Genomic DNA, 21,171 nt, shown 5'->3' on the forward strand with positions numbered 1-21,171 from the left:
AGGCATTGGGAAACTCTATTCTAGACATTTTCCATAACAGGGGTGAATCTCAATCTCTCTCTCTCGCTCCCTCTTCTCTCTCTGTCTGTCTCTTTCTCTTTCTTTCTCTCTCTTTCTCTCTCTCTCTCTCTCACATTCATGTCCATCCCTTCACTCACATGCTTCTGAAGGTGATATTGGACACCTGAATTCACGCCGTGGGCTGCACACTGCTGCTGTCTGTGGAATTCCTACCATTGGGAGCACACTTGGTCCTCTTACTTGGAAAGATGAATGTTAGCTCCTATTATCCAGCTGAAAGGTAAAGAGGAGTCAGGCTGTCCTCCAGCTCACGTAATGTTACATGTACCACGGAGTCAACCTTCATGGCTGCAAATGCCTTCTAAGGTGCCCTCTTCAAACTTGTACTGCCATCTTAAAATTAATTTATTAGAAGCCCAGGTCTAAACAGAGACGGTTTCCAGGGGGTGAACCATTAGCGGTGCTTGGAGCTCTTGCTGTGAGCTCCTGCTTGGAGTCCACTCTCTGAAGGTCACCCTGGAATTAAGCAGAAGAGGTCAAGTGGAGCCCTGCAGGTCCCAGAGCTGGTGCTTCCTCAGGGCTGGTGTCCCAGGAGCGATGTGTTTCTCTCCATGAAGTCCTTAATCACAGCCTCAGGAGGGGCTGCCGTTCTCCCTTTACTTCCTTGGCCTGGATTCTGTTCACAGAAGAGCAAACAGTTTCCTCGAGGCACCAAGAGATACCGGGAGATGGGCATTGTCACACAGAGTCCTCCTCCAGAGAGCATTTTCCTGAGCTCTGGGAGGTCAGGATTCAATTGGTCAAATCCACATCTGCAGTTTCCCTCCTCACGCCGGGGACCAGCCTGGGACCTTGGAGGCTGTGAGGTCTCAGACCCCTCCCCCAGCAACCCCCTTCTCATCCGAGAAGCGGGCGCGGGGCACTTGGGTGGGTTGGGGATGGAGGGTGAGCACTGCCTGGCTGGTCACATCACCTGGAATATAACAAGCACTAGGGAAGTGATAGGGGCCATTTTCGTTGTCAAGACCAATACAGATAATCATCACTATCATTTATTATTATTGATTCTTTTCTTCCTTTTATCACCAACCCACATTTCTCTGCTGATCACCTCTGCAGTTTGGATGAGTCAACAGGAAGGGAATTTGCTCCCTGTCTTTTGTCATCTGGACACCCCTTTGATTGTGCCCCAGAGGCCCAGTCAATCAACCAGTGACCACAGTGGACAGCGAGGGGCCCAGCCCTGTAGCTATTACACCTACCTATGCTGCCCAGGTGAGTGCCCCCATTGCTGAGTCTGGGTTTTCTAATCTTCGAGAATGACTGTAACCTTCTGCCTGCACACCCTAATTTCTGTGATTCCAGACTCCCTCAGCTCAGGCACAGAGGGAGGAACTAGCCAGGGGAAACAGTCTAAGTGCCACAAACTCAAAGACAGCTCTGGCTGCCCTGGGATTCTTTCTCATTTTCATTGCTAATACAGGAATTCCACTTCCTTCAAGTCAAAGAAAAACAAACAAACAAGAAGTACCTCTTTAAGAAAAGGATAACTGGGAATTGGAGGAACAAAAGAGCTGCCTGTCAGGAAAGCACAAGCAATGTGCGTGTCAAACTGCTTTTCACCCAGCAGAGCCTGGAGGAAATCTCACACGGAGACAACAGAGTAAGCTGGTATTATATCAGTAGACGTTTATTTTACAAGTCTAAAGTTATTACATTTAATTATCTTAAAGCAAAACTAGCTAAAAAGGAGAATGAGGAGAACCAAAATTGAAACTGAGAGTTGTACATGAAAAAAAAGCACACTTATACTAATCATAGTTTCCAATATTTTGGTGGCAGAAAAAATGTGAAAATTTTGATTCATGTAGATAAGTTGCCAATGATAACTTTTTTTAGCGTCTTGTCCTCAAGATACTCTTCATTTAGACTGACCCAGAAACTTTAAAGAAGAAGAGCAGGAGATATGGGTTTTAAAATTGAGCCACTAAAAATAATAGGCAACAGAAATTAAAATTTTTTAAAAGTCAAGTCAGAAGCACCCAAATTGACAGGAAGTTCTAGACGATCTACGGTGGATCACCACCCTTGCACCTGCCTTAAGGTCGTTGTTGCTGTTCTTGGCAGCTGTGCTCCCTGGACTTCTGGATCTTGCCTTCCAGCTCCCCTGTACAGGGTAGGAGGGTGGCTGCAGGCAGCATCCCACGGTGGGTTGGAGAATATTTACAATTCTGTGTGACTGAGCACACATGCACCATCTTGGCTGTGCAGCTGCACCTTTCCTAATCAGTGACCAGTGATGGTGGACATACAGTTCAAGTGCAGGCACAGGCAGAAGAAGGATGACTATAAGATCTGCCGAAGCACGCGTGCACCCAGCATTAGTAGTTCCCGATACATCATGGCATGGCAAGTAGGGAAGGACACTTGGGGTTTAAAATGTATTGTTTAAACACAGTTCCAACTGAATGTTGGAAGACACCCAAAGTCCCTTAGAGGAAGATCAAAGGAGCAAAGATGAAAGCACCTTCACCCACTGGGCTTGTGACATTGCAGCTGGGCAACTGTGTTTCTTCTCACGGCCACCCTCCAAGGTGGGTACTATAAGCATCTGATTTTGCAGGTAAGGAAACCCAGGCAGAAAGACACTCACTGATGGGCTGATGTCCACGCAGCTAGGACGTGGAGAAGCTGGGGACTGAGCTGGAATTCATCCGACTCTTGAGTCCATGCTATGTCTAATGTAATAACCACATCATTGTAATCACCGTAATTCTCACACTGAGAAGGCTTCCAACCATCCTGGAGCTGGTCTCACTGACTTCCCCAACCTCCATTCCCACTGCTCTCCCCTGCTCCCTCTGCTCCAGCTGCCCCCACCCCGGCCTCTGCTGCTCCTCCAGGCACCCCCCATGGTTGTCCCCTTACCCTGAAAGTCCTTTCCTGAATGCCTCCTGGCTCACTTGGTTGGCCCCTGCACTCTCTGCTCACACCAGCCTTTTCCAGGAAGCTGACTCTGACTACCCCGTTTACGATGACCCCTTCCCACTCACACACTGCAGGTACCATCTCACCTTGCTATGCCTCTTCTCCATGGCAGCCATCACTGCCCGACATATGAAACTGCTTATTGTTCATCATTTATCTTCAATGCTGCCAAGTAAGTTCCGTTTGTTTGTGACAACATCCCAAGCCTTTAGAACAGGAGCTTGTGATGGTTCATTTAGCGTGTCAGCTTAGCTGGGCCACGGTGCCCGGATATGTGGTCAAGCATTATTCTGGATGTTTTCACAAAGGCGTTTGTGGATGAGATTAACATTGACATCAGCAGATTTCGGGGAAACAGGTGGCCCTTCATGATGCAGGTGGGCTTCACCCAATCAGGTGAAGACCCTACAAGGAAAAGACTGGCCTCCAAGCAGGGGCAATGAAGCCACAGGCACTTTTGGACTTTTCCTGCAGCTTGGGCTTCTTCCCCAGCCTCCAGCCTGCCTGCCCACCCTGCAGATTTGGGCCTTGACAGTGTTAAGCCAAAAGTATCTGAGACAGATTTCAATCAATTTCAAAAGTTTATTTTGCTGAGGTTAAAGACACACCTGTGACACAACCATACAAGGTCCTGATGACATGTGTCCAAGGTGGTCGGGGCACAGCTGGCTTTATACATTTTAGGGAGACATGAGACATCAGTCAATACCTGTAAGATGTCCATTGGTTTGGTCCGGAAGGGCTGGACAACTCAAAGTGGGGAGAGCATTTCCAGGTTGTAGGTAGATGAGAGATGAACAGTTGCATTCTTTTGAGTCTCTGATCAGCCTTTCACTGAAGACACAATTTCCATGTGAGTGGGGGTTAGACAAATAGTCATGTAGGCCTTAGTCTGGCTCAGTGAAACAATAGGGCAGAGGAAACAATCAGATACATGTCTGTCACAGGTGAGCAGAGGGATGACTTTGAGTTCTGTCTGTCCTTTGTCCACTAGGAATTTCCTTGTGGGCTGTTATGGTTTGACTGTGTCCCCACCCAAATCTAATCTTTAATTGTAGCTCCCGTAATCCGCATGTATCATGGGAGGTACCTGGTGGGAGGTAATTGAATCATGGGGGCAAGTTTTTCCCATGCTTTTCTCATGATAGTGAATAAGTCTCATGAGATCTGATGGTTTTTACAAAGGACAGCTCCCCTGCACATGCTCTCTTGCCTGCCACCATGTAAGGTGTGCCTTTGCTCTTCTGCCTTTGCCGTGATTGCGAGGCATCCCCAGCCATGTGGAACTGTGAGTCCAATAAATTATAAATTACCCAGTCTCAGGTATTTCTTCATAGCAGTAGGAGAATGGATTGATACATGGGCAGATTGTGAGGGAGGTGTGTATCTTTTTTATCTTCATAGCCATCTTATTCAGGAATAGATTGGGAGGTGGGTTTGCCTGCTGAAGTTCCCAGTTTGACTTCCCCTTGACTTAGTGATTTTGGGGTCCCAAGTTTTATTTTCCTTCCTCATCAGCCACGATAATCACATGAGCCCATTACAGTAAGTCTCTCCATAGGCATGTAAATCCTGTTGATTCTCTTTCTCTGGAGAACCTTGACTAACACAGAGCTCATAATTGTTACATGAAAGAATGAGTGAGTGAATGAATGAATGGATGGCCATGAGGAGGAAGCCGGGTCTTAGCAGGAACTGTCCTGTTGGGTGTAAGCTGACTTCCTGTTGGGCTTCTTGCTTCTCTCCCTTTACTTGAGTGAGGGTTGCTCAACCCCTGAGCCCCTCATCTTCAACTGGAGTCACTTTCCTTCTTTTCTCCTGCAAAGCATTTGAGCTTCAGAAGGCAGGGCTTGCCCAGACTCTCCTCCTGGGAAGGGAAGGGAATGGAAAGGGAGTGGAGGGGAAGGGAGGGGAGGGGAAGGGAGGGGAGGGAGGGGAGGGGAAGGGAGGGGAGGAGAAGGGAGGGGAGGGGAGGGCAGGGAAGGCAGAGTGCAGTAATCAGAATTAGGAGGACTCAATTTCCATTTGTGACCAGGCATAGCCTCTCTGAGCCCAGGTCCTCAGGGATCTACAGTGGGGATAATGGTAAGTCCCACCCCTAAGTGGGTGCATAGCAATTAATTAATACAGATCCTGTGAGGAGTTTGAGAAGCTCAGGTTACACAGCAGGCTCAATGGGGATGCCTCTTGTTAACTACATGGAAAGTATTGAGTACACAGTTGACGTTACCAGTCCTAGTGCAGAGGACCTTTACTGAGAAAACCTTTCATCTAAGGGCTTCAAGTTAATGTATTCATCCTTTTATTCATTTCATCATTCATTCAACCAAGTTCCCACTCAAGCATCAGCCTGGCTCAGAGCTTAGGAGAAATTTGCTGATGGCAGCCACCATGCTTGTCTTCAGGGAGGTCATGGGGAGGCTGGGGAACCAGCGGATCAGAAGGTCCAAGAGCTTCTGCAAAGGCCTGGAGGCAAGAGGAGAGGCAAGAGGATGGGGTCTCCCCAAGCTGGGGTTGGGGGTCCAGGGAGACTTCCTAGAGGGGTCATGCTTGAAGATGGGGCCACAGCTCCTAGCCGACCAGACAGCTAGAGCCAGTGTTTTCCAACAAGAAGGCTGCTGGGATGGCCCACTGATGCGTTTTCTGATGCTGCTACTCTAGGGCTCAAGGAACTTCCCAGTGTCACCCATGCACTCATGTAGATGAGAAACCCACAGGATCAGACACAAATCCAGATACTGGAGGCCATGCCACCCCTTCGGACACCTGCTGACTGTCTAGTTCTGCAGATCTTTGGTCAGATCTACCATTGAGCCTGACCTGGGTGCCATCAATGCACCCACCTTAGATGCCTGCCTGCATGGTGTCTGGGGCTGAGGAGTACTGGAGTCTCCCTCCCTGGCAGGGCTTGAGGTTGTGTTCCAATTGCCCAGGAACTCAAAGGCCCCATGACAGAGCGTGTGGGGTGTCCAGAACCAACACAAGATGAGACGTTTGGCAACATGCATCACCCACAGTTCTTTCACAGATACCTTCATGGTTCCCTTTGCTTTCCTTGTTGGAGAGGAACATCCCCAAGGCTTCCTCCTGCATCTCAGGAGTTATTGTTCTCCAGGCTCCTACAGGGACCTCCTCCAGAAACTACAACTGTGCAACCCCATAAAACCCAGGGTCCTGGCAGGGAGTCCCAGCAGGCCTGCCCCCCCCTTCTGTAGGCCCTCCTGACATGGTTGACATTGAGAAAGAGTGGCTATGCTGTATTATTGTCTACTTGATTGCTTCAAATTGGTGTCACTGCCTTTAAACTATTTGCATTTCCTATTTTGGGTCTGTGTGTTTATCCTCTGAAACGGCCTGGCTAATGACTCCTATTTCACCTCCCTCTTTCCCTTCAGAAAAACGAATCCCATAAAAATCACCAGACTGGTGACTGAGCAAACTCCTTGGCATCATAAAATTTTGATTTAGAGGTTGAGCAAATGTGATGGAACATTTTTGTGTGCCCTCTTGAATTGTGTAAACTATTTTTGGTGTGCGAGCATTTGCATATTATTGCCAGAAGTGAGCTCTGTTTTGTTGTTGTCCCCCCTCTTCTGAGATGAGAAGAAGCTTGATGAGTCAAGCCAGGATGAGACAGGTTCTGAGTCAGAAGACACAGGCTGTCCAAGCCAAGCAGGCTGAGGTACAGTTCAGGCTCAAAGCAGTGAAATTAGGTGGTGGCACAGTGCTGGAAAGAAGAAATACAGGCATACACAAAAGAAATTTTAGCATACAATTCTGCAGAGGGGAGGAGATGGGGTGAAATTCTTGCTCATCTTTCAAGGAGAGATAAATGGCTTCAAGCAAAGTAGCATGTCTCCAGTGGGGCCATGTGAGCATTGGAGGGACACTGGGGAGCACCGCTGGGGAGGGAGCCCTTCCTTCCCCCCTGCACGTCACCTCAGGGGACTCCTGCACTATGGGATGCGTTCTGGGAAACACTACTTCAAACTTTCCCCCAGAACCATGGACACAAGCATAGATTCAAAGAGTTCCTTAAAGTAATAGCCCGGGAACATCTAAAATGGGAGAATGAGAATTGCCCCAAGAAAAGGCTATTCACGTGGGGGTTCACGTCCCCCCACCCGGAGTTGCGATCCAGGATCCTGGACTTGTGGGGAAGAAAAAGGTAGCCTCTATGCTGGGCTCTATATGAGCAAGTCTGGAACCAAACTGGGCACCTAGAGCATCACATTTAGATCCTTAGGGCACGTTTATGAGGAAACAGGAGCATTTGTGTGGGCTCACTGTGCACCGCGCTTAGCCTCGACTGGTATTACCTAGTATTTAACCTTCACATCAACCCATTTTGCAGCTGGGGCACTGAGGCAAAGTGAGGTCTTTGCTACTTGCCTAAGGCTGTCCAGGTGGTCCACAGACTTTGCTCTTAACACTGTGTTGAGCTGCCTCAAATTTATAAGCCATGATGTACTTGATTTTGTAGGTATTATCTCCATTCTCCAGGGAGGGAAACTGAGGCTCAGAGGGTCCGGTTATTTGTCCATGGTCCCACAGTGACAGCAAGGGAGCCTGGATCCACACATCCATCTGGCTGATGCCACAGTGCATGCTTCTTCTGGGACACCTCCGTGCCTCCCTGGGGCAGCAGGCATGAACTGAGCCTCTCCTGCTTAGGGCTGGCTAGGTTTCTTGTTCAATGGGAAGGCATCCTATTGGTGTGGAGGCCACACTAAGCACAGCTTGTCTTTCTGTTAACACCTTCCAGAACAAAGTCAGGATTCATTGCAGGACCGAATTCACGGATGTCTTACTGCAGCCCAGGGCCTGGAGTCCAGTGCTGGGGCCTGTGGGCCTGGGCTGCCCTTATGAGTCTTTCTGCTTCTTGTTATTACTTTCATTTTCTCCATTATACAGTACTTCAAATTCCATGATCTATATTGTTCTGTCTTACCATTGATTCACTGGTTAAATTAGCTGCTATTTCTTTCTCCTGCATTATAGGCTCGGAGTAATTTGTTTATGAATCAAAAGTTCTGTAGGCTCTGAAGGAAGGCTTAATATGCATTCATTACAGCTGAGCCGTAATCACCCTAAATCATGGGAATTGCCAGTCTTGGGCAAGCCGTCGTTCTCTTTGGCACAGCCTCCCATCTTTTACCTGACCAGAGCAGCGATGCTGAGGCATGAATTTTAATCAAAATTCAGGGAAGGGTGGTGGGGCGGGAGTGTGCAAAAGGTGAAAATAACAGATTTTCAAAATCTTTTAAAAACATTCCAAACCAGGCTGGGTGTGGAGGCTCACATCTGTTCTCCCAGTGCTTTGGCAGGCTGAGGTGGGAGGAGCCCTTGAGCCTAGGAGTTCAAGACTAGCCTGGGCAACATAGTGAGACCCTTTCTCTACAAAAAACAAAAAATTAGCTGTGCATGGTGACATGCTCCTGTAGTCCCGGATACTCAAGAGGCTGAGGTGGGAGGATCACTTGGGCCCAGGAGTTTAAGGCAGGCTGCAGTCAGCTGTAATCGTGCCACTGCACCCAGCCTAGGTGACAGAGTGAGACCCTGTCTCACTAACAAACAAACAAACCAAACCGATGCAAGATTATTGTTCATCTTGTCCTCCATGTGCATGTGACCGTCACAGAGCACCCACCCCAGGCCCACCCGCCTCGCCTGGAGCCTCTGGCTGTATCCCCGTGGGTCTCACCAGAAGGAGAAGGTGTGTAAGGAAAGTTAAACTCGGAGCAGTGGTCGGTGCGAGGCTGTGGCATCCCTCCCTCCTCTGGGGAACTCCTCCCAGCCCCAGCACAGGCTTGACCCAGGCCCCATGCTGCTTCTTACCCTCTGTGTCCTTCTCCAGGACAGTTGTGTGCTCTTGACCTGTCCCCAGAGTCCCCACAGCCCATTCGGGATCCAGGCAAGTCCGCCCTGGGTTCCTATAAACTGTGTGGTGCCCAGATGAGAATCCCCCATCAAACTCTTCCCTAGTGGGGTGCCAGCCTTCTTCTTCTCATCCCTGGCCTCCCCACCCCCAGGCCTTTCGAGTCACACTTTCCTTTATGATAAAATAATGCAGTGACAGTGATCAGCAGCAATAGGAGCCAGTGCCCGCACTTCGTGGCCACTTATCTCCATTTCAACGGGACGATTCTGGACCGCAGTGATCACAGCCCCCCTTTCCCTCACTGAGACTTACCAGAAGGGACTCTGCACAGGGAAAGGCTCATTGGTGGGGCTGCCTGGGAGAACTCCCAAGACACACAGGTGGAGCCTTTCCCGAAGGTAGGCCCAGAGGTGCGCCCAGGTGACAATACTGGCATAGAGCAAGCGCCTAAGGCAGCTGGGAATCTGGTGAGGTCTCCCCCCCGAAAAGGCACAAAACCAGGCTCATGGACAGACAGCCTGGCTTAGTCCTGAGGTGCCAGGCGCCAATGCACACACCAAGGGTTAGTAAACTAGAGCAGGTGGACTCACACCTTGGCAGTGTCAGAAAATGATGGGCAGGCATTAACCATCAGCAGGAGCCAGGTGTGATCCAGAGGACCCCTGCTCCACAGGGTGCTGACCCCGCCACCAAGCTGAGATCTTGTGGCCCAGGGACCTGCATCCCAGGGAGCTTCCTGTGGTCACCTCCGAGGCTTTTTCCTTTCTAGTTGAAAGGAAATCAAAGAATCTCAAGGCATTCCTGGGGAAACCAAAAGTTAAACCCCCCAAAGCAAGAAGCTCAGGAAATTTCCACTGTGCCCAACAGGCATTCCCCATTTGAAATTTTATTTGCAGATTTTATTAGAAACTAGTTTATGACACAAATTATTCAATGCCTAGGAAGCCTAAACTAATAAGAGTCTGTTTCCACAGCAAAATTCATGACATGTAGGTTTTTATTGCAGTACATTTAAAACCAAGCCTTATCCATTATGATATTGCAGAAACATGCTTTACCCTGGATTCCATTGATGATATTCTATTTAATGAAATGTCTAAACTAACCACATTATACTATTATTGACTGTGTCTTCCCGGGGATAGGCCAAGTATGGAGCAATTATCTCGCGTCTTCATCCATCATCGGAAATCCTAACTGAAGCTTTTGAGCCGAATTCCAAAGCTTTATGGGTATGGAGTGGGCTTGGGATGCAGTAAACACAGAGATGATACTAGACAAAGATATTGGGATTTTTGGGACCAGTGTGGAAAGTGAAGCTCCCTTTAAAAACACATGACCCGGCATCCGGGCGCGGTGGCTCACGCCTTTAATCCCAGCACTTTGGGAGGCTGAGGCGGGCGGATCACGAGGTCAGGAGATGGAGACCATCCTGGCTAACATGGTGAAACCCGTCTTTACTAAAAATACAAAAAATTAGCTGGGTGTGGTGGCGGGCACCTGTAGTTCCAGCTACTCGGGAGGCTGAGGAAGGAGACTGGCGTGAACCTGGGAGGCGGAGCTTGCAGTGAGCCAAGATCTCGCCACTGCACTCCAGCCTGGGTGACAGAGCAAGACTCCGTCTCAAAAAAAAAAAAAAAAAAAAAAAAGACCCGGGAAGCCAAAGCAGAAACGCTCTCTTTCTACAGACGCCCTTCCGTCCGGAGCTCCCTGGAGCTGCGCCTCGTGGGCTGTGATTTACACAGGGGCTGAGGCTTGGGCCTGAGTTGGTTCCAGATCATAGGGACTGTGACAAGGTAACATATTTGTGTAGAGCTGCAAAGTGCCCCCTGCTGAAGCAAATTTTTTTCTAATTACTACCCTCCCTAACCCTATTTAAACATGTAATGAAGGTGATTACAGAAAACTCTTTAAGGTAAACCGAAATGAATGGATTTATTTAAACTCTTAATGAACTTGAAACTCTCCAAACCGGCGCACTCCGGGGCTGGAATCACTCATTGTGGTGCTGGTGGGAGCTGAGAATGGGTTGCCGGGCCTGCCAGCCGAATGCTTAGCTGAGGGGGACAGCTCATTTATTATCCGGGTCTCTGGGAAGCAGTGACCAATTAGTCCATCTGCTCAACACTCCTCTTCCAAAAACAGACAAATTAAGCCTGGACCAGAGTTCCAAGCATCAGACCTGGCTGGAATGTGGAACTGCCCCTAGAGAGAGTCTCTACCTGCAAAAGGAAGTCAAAAGAGGCACCTCAAAGTAGGGGCTTGGAGCGATGCACCAGGCTTGTAGACTGGGAGGAGGCCCAGAGGGCCCTTTAGTTACAAGGCCTTGCTCTTGCTGGTGGCTGACCTAGGGAGGCAGTGGACAGCTGTGAGCCAGGGCTGGAGTCCTGGAGCCCTCCTGGGCGCATGTGGAAATCAGCTTCATGAATATATAGCAGTCTGTGCTGGGAACACCTGTCCCTCGTGGCCTTGAGCATAAATTTCACCCCGCTTTTAGACATGAGAATGTTCAACGTTCTCCAGAGCACTGAAGTCTACAAACACTCTCTTTGCCCCTTCTGAGCTGTGCTGTTTTACCAGCTTCATTTCTTAGAGCGCTTGGGTACGGGACAATTTGTTTGCTCTTTCTTCTAGGTTTCCCTCTCACCAAGTTTGCCCCACCCATTCTGAGCTTGACAGGCACCACTGTCCCTGTGTTCCACATGAGCAGGCTTGTTCATTGAGGGACGCTCATTCAATTCACAGAGGGGGCTCTGCTCCACAGCTTTCCACTGTCCCTTAGTCTGCAGGGCAGGGCATGGGACAGGTGCTCATGAGGAGCACCTCCTGAAGGAGGCATAGAACGAAATTCACTGGATTAGGAATTGCACCATCCAGAGCCTCAGGGGTGCTAGCTTTGTCCCTGAGCAGTCTCTGATGTTTATCATGTCCAGAAGTAGACAGAACTGGGAATCATCTAATCAGGTGTCGGGAGGATTCATCACTTGGCACAGGTGTGAGTCCCCGAGGTGTTCCCGCTTTTCCGTCATCTCGGAGGGACCTGCCTATGCTGACTGGTGGGTCATCAAGATTAATAAAGACAAAGGCTTTGGCGGATGCTCAGCTCAGGAAAAGCACCTGGAGCTGCTCTTTCCTGACTGATTAATTAGGGAAAGACGTGGTGGCTGTAATTGGCGGTTGAGTATTTTCTGAATTTTAACATTCGCGGTATGCAAATCTATCAGTTTCTAACAATATCTAACAAGATTATTTGAAAGTGAGAGTCTCCCAAGAGATGCAGGCATGGTTCGGGGGAGATGTGGGGCTCTTCCGGGTTTGTATGCACTCATATAAATCAACGGAACGTTTGTTACCAATTGTTACTAACGTTCTTCAGCAAATTGAGAGATCGACCAGTAAATACGCATTAAACATAATCCTATCTACCTGTTGCATTTAATTCCAGCAGCGAAGACCCATTACACTACTGAAGTTTGATGAATGTTTTCTCTCGCTGCTCATCTGACTTGGAAACGAGTGTGTTTGCTCAGGGCGGGGGTAGGGGGTGGGGGAGTCATGTGCGAGCCTTAGCTCCTTCAGTTTCCACGTGGAAAACTCTAAATTGAAATCCGTACCTCCAGGGACCGTGAGACCAAAGAGAAAACTGTTGGGCCCCAAAGGGACCATTTCCTACCATAATGAGAATTTTAAATGGCGGGTTTGAAATTCCTTGAAAAGCCTTTCAGAAATGTGTGTGCAAATGATGGTTGCTGAATTACTGACAGAGATGCAATTAAATTCAAGGGAGAACGTCTCCTTATTCTAATTTCCAGCCTGAAGACCCTTCTCCCTATCCCAGGAGGAGCCCAGGAACGCAAGCGAGAGCCTCTGCAAGTCACCCCAGCTGCCGCGTTTCCACCCAGGAGGAAGACGCACGTGGGGCGGCACGAGAGATAGACGGAGGTGAGGATGGAATCGGAGATGAAAGGCCCAAGGGGTGGGGCCTGGAGTGGGGCCCTCCCGACATTTCCTTCCCAATGTATTGACCTCTTCTTCTCTTAGACACAGACTAACTAAACCTGGGGGCAGTGTCCGACTGGAGCCAGGGCCCCCTCCCACACCACAGGAATCGGCAATTCCAGCGGCCTTGTTCTGAGCTGTGGGGTGTGGGGCTCCAGTGAATCCCAAGTGTATTATCTCCTTGCACCTTCAGCACTCCCTGGGCAGTGCACACTCTTCCTACCCCATGTTACTGAGTCCTCATGAATCTGCAAGGCTTTAGAACCCAGTGGGCAGAGCAGGCAGACCAGGGAGGCAGCTGCTTCCACAAGTTCCTGGCTGTGAGACCTTTCTGATGAGCCTCCTCTCCTTTGCCTGTAAAATGGGGATACCCTGCTGGGATTATCCATGCCCTGGGGTTGCTGTGAGCGTTCAGTGAGGTAACCCATGCCTTGCAAGGGTGCTCTGTCTGGCCAAACCCATGGCGAGAGTCACTCCAAAATTGACAGCAGGGGAGTTCCTGCAAGAGACAGCCCCAAACTGTTCTGAGATGGGGCTGGCTGGAATTCCAGAGGGAGAAGAAACAATTGCTGGGGTCCTTGCTGTAAAGCATTTACCGGGGGAATTTACATACAGCGGCTGAAGCCCCGTGACAGAAAGCAAGGAAAGGGATGTTTTGCCCACGTATGTCCATGATGAGGTCACGGTCTGGCGTTTGAGGGTTTAGGGAACTTGGCTCAAGGTCGGACTGGTTTCTACATGTTTAGCAACGTGGTCTCTCACTGACTGCTGCAAGCAACAACCTGAACGACTTTATCAGTGCCTGGGAATGTTCCAGAGTTCAGCTTGGGTTCAAGCCTGTAGGAGAAAGCCTGCAGCTGGCCGGGTCACAGAGCAGTCAAGGCAATCTGGGCTACTCGGTCAGGACACAGAAAGAAAGCAGTGAGGACTTGGGAGGACCTACAGTGGGCTCAACAAAAGTGGGTCTTGTTATTCCGGAGGTTAAATCATCTGACCAGCACAAGAAAGCAGTGAAGTTGGGATTCCTACCAGTGGTTTTGGCCCCAGAATCATCTCCACATGATACGTTTAGAAGGACAGGGGCCTCGTCAATGCCTGTGGGTGAAAAGATGCCCTTTCTCTTTTCTACTGAAAGTGCCCCTGTGAGACCAAGGCTACTACCATTCAACAGAGGCAGGAATGGAGGTGCACAAACTGACTCCCTGGGTCAGTATTTCTGCTGCTTTTCTGGGTGCCAGTGGGGTTAGGTTTCATGCAAAAAGCCCACAAACAGAGGTTACTCTTCAAAGCCACTGCCCCTTTTGAAGACAAAAAGCGGGGAATGTCACAGCACCACAGCTGAAGACCAAGAGGTCCTGGGAGAAGCAGGGAGTGGTTAATAACAGGAGGAGAGCCAGGACTTTGCATATAAGCTTGCAATGCACCCCATCAAGACTTCCCCGGGAGCTTTTTCCTGTGCTGGGGAATAATACAAATGTGCCCATCAGTGCAAAGGGTGCAGTGAGGGCAGGAAGTTACAGTCACCATCAGGGTCAGCCAAGGAACAGTACATAGCAAGCTGGGTGAGACACTCTGTGCCCCAGGCAGGGCCACTGGGGCGAGTTGGGCCTCAGATGTCCTGCTTCTGAATGAGGGCCTTGAACTCCGTGGTGCCTACATCCTCTCCAGTTCTAAAATAAGATGACATTTAACGAGGTCCCACTGTGTTGATGGGGCACCGCAGCGACCTCGTGTTAAACAGCACCATATTGTTGATGGCTTGACCAGATGCCGGGAGCACGTGATCTTGCTACTGAGTCTCCGTGGCCTCCACTTGGCGGCACCCAAACAAGAGACAGCAGTGTGCAAAGATACTGGGTGTGGGTTTCTCTAGTAGCAGAGAAACAGAGCCTTCTGTGCTTGCAGGGTGCTTGCCCTGCCCTAAACAGCATGAATCTGAACCCCACCCATCCGAACAGCCTGGGGAGGCAGGATGGAGAGACGTCAGAGGGCGGTCACCAGTATCTCACTGCACAGGGGCTGGAGGTTTGTGTCTCGTTAACCTAATGAGGTGACGGTAACTTCCTGCCCTCACTGCACCCTTTGCACTGATGGGCACGTTCATGTTATTCCCCAGCACAGGAAAAAGCTCCCGGGGAAATCCTGATGGGGTGTAGCGCAAGCTTATAAGCAAAGTCCTGGCTCTCCTCTTGTTACTAACCACTCTGTGCTTCTCTCAGGCTGTCCTGGTCTTCGGCTGTAGCACTGTGACATCCCCCACTTTTTGTCTTCAAAAGGGGCAGTGGCTTTGAGGAGTAACCTCTGTTTGTGGGCTCTTTGCATTCCTTCTTGGCTGCTGGGCTCTGGAGATCCTTCAGTGATACTTCAATGCCATTGATAGCAAATGCTTCAAACTGGATCTTGCTGTCCCATCTCCACTGGGCAGAATGGGCTGACCCCACATGAAACATGTGGGGAGATTTTAGTACTAGTCCATCATAAAAACATTTCCTCTCAGAATTTATTTGGATAAAGTAAAGCAGATGAAAATCACCAACTGCCTCTTCCTTCTATTTACTAAATTAGTAAGCTGATGAATAAACCAACGTATATTGAGTGCTTACCCTAGGCCTGAGACTGTGCTAAGTTAGTCTGTGATCTATTATTAATTTCCTCAACAAGTTTGTTCATTAGTTCAATAGGTGTTTCCTGGCCTTTAGCCATGTGCTGGTTATTATTCTAGGCTTTGGGGACAGAGCAGGGAATGAAACAGACAAAACGATGCAAAGCTCCCTCACGCCCAGAGGGAGGTAACTTCTAAATGGGGAGAGAGGTGACAGCAAAGTACATGGGTACAATAATAAAATGCACTAGACAGTGGTCGTGAATGTAGAAAGAAACAAAGTGGTGGGACTCAGGAAAGGCCTCAAGGGGAACATGACCCTGGGCAGGGTGCGGAAGGCAAGGGGTGCCAAGCAGGCAGGGCCATCGGGGGAAGAACACCGCAGATCGAGGCTCCTTGGCAGAAAGGCTGGGGCAGGAATGGGAAAAAAGAGACCATAGGCATAGGTGGAGGCAGATAGGAGGGAGGTCAGAAGAGTGGGGTGGGGTCCTATGGACCATTGTGAGTCCTTGAGTTTTTATTCTATACTGTTCAGGAATCAAATGTAGGGTTTGGAGCAGTGGAGGCACCCAATCTACTCTCCGTATTGGAATTAAACTAGGAGGAGGCAGAGGTGGGAGCGGAGTGGGAAGCTGCGCGGGACCCATTTGGATGGTCTAGAGGGCCCATCTCGGGGTGGCAGGAAGGTGGGGAGGTGTGGCTGAACCTGAATAGATCCCCTTTATCCTAGGATTGAAAGAAGTAGCCAGTGAGCCAGATAAGATGAGCCAGGACACACGATGCTGATGGGTCAAGGAAGGTCAGTCCTGGGAGCTGACCACAGATTGGACTGACCCAGAAGACAGTGCCAGCTCCCTGAGGAGGGGCAGCTGGGTGGATGCAGTGAATGCCAATCCCTCTTTTTGGTACCAGCACCTGGGTTTTCCTTGGGGAGAATGCTACTCCCTTAATATACACATCTTGCCAAGCTGTCACTCAAGAGGCTCAGTTTCCCTTGGGTAAGGCAGGGATGGGGGGCTCAGCTAAGACCAACAGTCTCTCCCTCCTGAAATTCTCATCTTTGACTGGCATAAGACAAAACAAAACAAAACGACAAAAAAAGCCACGAATTACCCCAGGAAGAGGCGCCGTGAAAATACTACATGCTCTTCCTCCTGTTCCCTGGGTTTGTTCTTCCTCCTTTTCCCATTTCCTGTTTATTCTAAGACTTCCACTTCAATTCCTCTATCCCCTGTGATTCCAATGACCTGTCTTTGCAGAAGAGCTTTAATCAGCTGGTCAGTTTCTAAGGCTTTCATCCAAGGAACCCTCATTGATGTGAAACAACAAAGTGAGACTTCCATCCTCGAATGTGCAGCCAGGAAGTGGCAGAAAGGAGCTTTGCATAAACTTCTTCTCATTTCAAATCCTATGCTCTTTCTCCCACGCCTCAGCCATTTGCCTTTAAAATCAATTGCATCCTGAAGTGAAGAGCTTTGCAAGAACAGTGCTATCAGAAACAACCATACTCCACCAGAGCAATCACAGCACCTCCCAGAACCCCTGGGACTTTTGCTTGGACTCGGGCAAGTGAGTAGACAGCTCGGATGGGGCGAGCACCTGCTGGTTCATCCACCAAATATGAACATGGCCCAAGAGTGAGACCCCAAGACCCGAAATTGCACCAATGACTATAGCTATACAAGAAAATGCCACTGGACAAATTTTGCAGAGGTTTCTTTATTGTTGCTGTTCTCAGCAAACCTAAGAAGTCATTTCAGTTTGTCTCAGTTTTTGTAGAAGAACAAAAAGTTCAACATTAAACCATGTGTGTAAGTAGCGTGGAGTGTTTACTCTGCCTGATCTATAGTTTAGGACCAACAATTTCCTATAGTGGGTAAATTTACCCAATGATGGTTTAAATGGTGTCTATAATCTAAGCTTAATATAGTCATCTAATACATTGACTATAGGCACAGCCAAGTTGCCTGCTTTTGATTCCTTACTCATTCATGTGGATATGTACCCAAAGAAATCTCTGACTTACACTTTGCTGCTTCTTATTTCTACTTCCTAACAATACACTACAGACAGAACACCCCCCACACACACACTTACACACGTGTGCCATCACACATCAGCACCACACAAGCAGTCACATACCCTTCATGCATGGATAGATATGTGTATTAGTCTGTTCTCGTGCCACTAATAAAGACATACCTGAGACTGGGTTATTTATAAAGGAAAGGGGTTTAATGGACTCACAGTTCCACATGTCTGGGGAGGCCTCACAATCCCAGCGGAAGGCAAAAGAGAAGCAAAGGCACATCTAACATGGCGGCAGGCAAGAGAGTGTGTGCATGGGAACTGCCCTTTATAAAACCATCAGATCTCTTGAGGCTTACTGCCTATCATGAGAACAGCTGGGGAAAGACCTGCCCCCATGATTCAATTACTTCCCACCAGATCTTTCCCATGACACACAGGAATTATGGGAGCTACAATTCAAGATGAGATTTGGGTGGGGACACAGTCAAACCATATCAACATGCACATCATACACACATACAAGCACACAAGCACAGAAACCACCAGACAATACACCCACTGATTTTTCCGATAATTCACTTACATTTTGGTGGGTTTTATCATCGAAAATGTCCTGACTATTCCCTTCACTTGACAAAGTTCAAGTTCACTCTTTAAATCACCAACTTTGAAAGAAAGGAAGCAAGACAAAACTTTCCACTTGGCTTTGTTCCTCTCCTAATTTCTTTATGCATATTAAATTTTTATTGTTGACATTCTTGTTTAGGGGGAAAATCATTGGTTTGGCTTTTTTTTTAGCTATCAGATGTTTTATAGACGTTCTAATGGCTCATTTGGTGTGAAATTAATTATCAAAGATTCGCAGAGAGTTTTAAATTACATTTTCTCTGCTCTTCAAGGCAAACAACTGGTACTGTTTTTGTCACTAATATAAGGTTCTCATTGCTGCCTTTTTTCTGTACAATGAAATGATAAAAACAAATCTTCAACTTATTTTAATGTGCTAATTGGGGGTTATTACAGCTCATTTTATTTACACTGAGATAAAAAAGCACTAATTCATTTTCCTTGCACAAACTACTTAGAAAAGATTGTAATTGCCTCCTATACAAACATGTATTTGTAAAGAGAAATGACATAAAGCTAAAAGCCTAGAAAGAAAATTGTTTGGGCAATGGGCTAAGCCAAACCCTTGGTTTTCTAGATAGAGACCTGTTGCCTGAACACATTTCCCTTTCAGGTTGCTGAATCATACGAATGGTGCTACGTACTCTGCAAGAAATAAATGCTGGTAGGACGCAGAAAAGTTCAGAAAGAGAAACTAATACAAGATTATTTCAGAGCATTTACCTTGCCCTACACAGATTTTTAGAATTATTCTGTATTAGGTAAATACACAACAGTTAGATATAAAAAGTAGTTGCTTTCCAGTGTTACTGGGCCTCATATCTTTGGCCACAAAAAGATGCAGACATCCAGTGTTTTACACTGCTGTGGTGGGTGTTCTCTGGCCAGCATTCCTGTTCATTTTACACATTGACTCTTGTCAATTTCCCTTCTGGTGCTTCAAGTTTCAAAATATTCTTAGGGTTTTAAACGTGTCATAGCTAATTACTGTGTAGGATGACAGGTATAAAGACATATCATTAGAAAATAATCAGATAATGCTTATGTTTAATAGTTCAAATTAAGCAAATACTTCCATGAAACAATTACAAATGGCTTCGTTGTGGAATTACATTTTCTAATTTTTAGGCTTATCTTTATCTCTCCTTTAGGATCTTCACAGAGTTAGAATCTTTTTGGAGGCTGAGAGAGTACCAGTAGCTTTGCTGTGTTTTGCTTGCCTGTATATGGGGAGAAAATAGCAGTAACAAAGGAACTCACTCACCCTCCAGGTTCCCTTGAGACGACAGTGTTGAATGGGAGATGGATACACTTGGAGTGAGAACTGTCTGTTGTTGCTACCACCTGCCAGCCACTGTGCAAGGAATAATATCCCATTTCCTCATGCACTTGGTTTTATGGCTTTTTAAAACCCATTGTTGGCTCCTGCCTCCCCATGTTGAAATTATTGGTCATGGATGCTGTCAAGGAAAACTTGCAATGGATGGAGGTAAACAGGCAAGGAAGATTTTTTTCAATGCTACTGTAATAGGGGTCAAGACCATTACAGTAGAGGAGAGAGACTGAACTCTACTTGGATACAACAGGGCCTGCTAGGAAGGGATTTATAGCCATTGCACACGGTGAGGGAGTCACTGGATGGAAAATTACTAAGAGGAGCTCGAAGGAGGGGAAGTGGGGGACTCTTGCTAAATTGGCTTAGCAGGATTCTTGCTAGAGATGGGCTCAGCAGGTCAAGGATTAAGCCTACCAAAGAGGAACCTGACAAAAGCTTGGTCAATGAGTGATTCTGGCCAGTGTGCAGAGTAACTTATAAGCTTGTGGGGGAAAAGAGAAGGTCATTGGGCCATGCTTTAGAGCTATTCTCAACTTGGCTCAATGAACCGGAATAGCCTCCTCTGAGGGGCACACGCTGCAGTCACTGGGCCATAAGTTGATTTTCTCCGGGTGTTGTTCTTTGCCAGAGTACACAATATTCTAGCAACAAAACAGGCTCCCTCAGGTCCTCTTCTGTCCTTTCTCCTGAGAAGCATGGAGTCTCATGAGAATGAGATCCCAAGACCCCACTGTTTCACTCAGCTCCACAAGGAGAGGGACTCTGCGTCACCACCCAGGACATTCCTTCTCCCCCAGCCCACTGCAGCTGCCTTACTGAGGAGGAAAGGCACCAGAGGGTGTCCATCACCATCTTGGGCTGGTCACACAGGTGCTGACAGGGCTGGGATCCAGACATGACTCAGTTTCCCACTTCCCTAGTGGATGGTCTGTGCCCACTGGCAGTTCCCCATTCATTCTTGATTCTCAGCCTCTCCCATTCCCTCAACTCCCAAATATACATGCAGCATAATTATGGACATTTCAAATGACTTTAGAAATTGGACTGCAAAGTCTGTCTCTCTGCCTTGCGTTTTCTGGAGGCCCTGGGATGCCCTCGCCCAAGCTGCATCTGTGAGTTCTGTCTCATTTCACCGAGCCTCCTGACAAGGCCTTGCCATGTGTGCGTCCCCAGGGGCTGGGGAGGGGAGAACGGGGCAGCCCGGAGGAGGAGAGTGCGTACGGGCGAGGAGAAGGACTGGCCATGAAGGTAGCGAATTAGCCCAAAGATGGATGAACGGGCGGGGAGGACGGACTGTGGGGTCCAGTGAGGTCACTGTGTGGGGCCGAGGCAGACGCAAGGCTGGCACCGCCCTCCTGATGTAGAGCTCCCACTTGCCCCCACCACGGACCCACCCGGATGGCTCCAAAGCTGGCATCTCATCTGTGGCACCAGATGCTATTCTTCATCCTGTTTTTAGTGCTCTGCAGGAACACACGATTGGAGGAACTTAGAAAATGATTTTATAGATGTGGAGCCCCAGTCCGGGGGGAGCTGAGTCTGCTGTGTCCTTCCAGCCAATGGGTCACAGCCGGTTGCATCCCTCACCATCCTACCTGCCCACCTCGATTTCCTATGATTCCCTTGTAGATCCCAACCTCCAGAACTGAGGTTCTTTTCCTGCCCAGGCAATACCAGGTTTATAGC

The 21,171-nt window shown here is 48.4% G+C and overlaps 1 long non-coding RNA gene across 2 annotated transcripts, besides 1 other annotated feature; it reads left to right on the forward strand.

Annotated features, from left to right (window-relative positions):
• Nucleotides 889–2,088: an enhancer, noted in NCBI's record as "BRD4-independent group 4 enhancer chr1:5025208-5026407 (GRCh37/hg19 assembly coordinates)". NCBI's record gives its function as "activates an origin of replication core promoter dependent on BRD2, P300/CBP, MED14 and CDK7 cofactors, and independent of BRD4, by STARR-seq in HCT116 cells {active_cell/tissue: HCT116}" and the evidence as "EXISTENCE:reporter gene assay evidence [ECO:0000049][PMID:35650434]".
• Nucleotides 9,132–19,699, forward strand: LINC02781 (long intergenic non-protein coding RNA 2781). 2 transcript variants are annotated; one of them, XR_946900.2, is made up of 5 exons: nucleotides 9,132–9,288; nucleotides 10,036–10,122; nucleotides 10,579–10,686; nucleotides 12,703–12,832; nucleotides 16,222–17,308. It is a non-coding gene; the product is annotated as a long intergenic non-protein coding RNA 2781 (long non-coding RNA). The 2 variants fall into 2 exon arrangements; XR_946902.2 differs by lacking the exon at nucleotides 16,222–17,308 and adding an exon at nucleotides 19,301–19,699 and having other exon boundaries at nucleotides 9,155–9,288.
• The last annotated feature ends 1,472 nt before the right edge of the window (nucleotides 19,700–21,171 follow it).

The sequence above is a fragment of the Homo sapiens genome, chromosome 1, assembly GCF_000001405.40.
Source record: "Homo sapiens chromosome 1, GRCh38.p14 Primary Assembly".
NCBI lineage: Eukaryota > Metazoa > Chordata > Mammalia > Primates > Hominidae > Homo > Homo sapiens.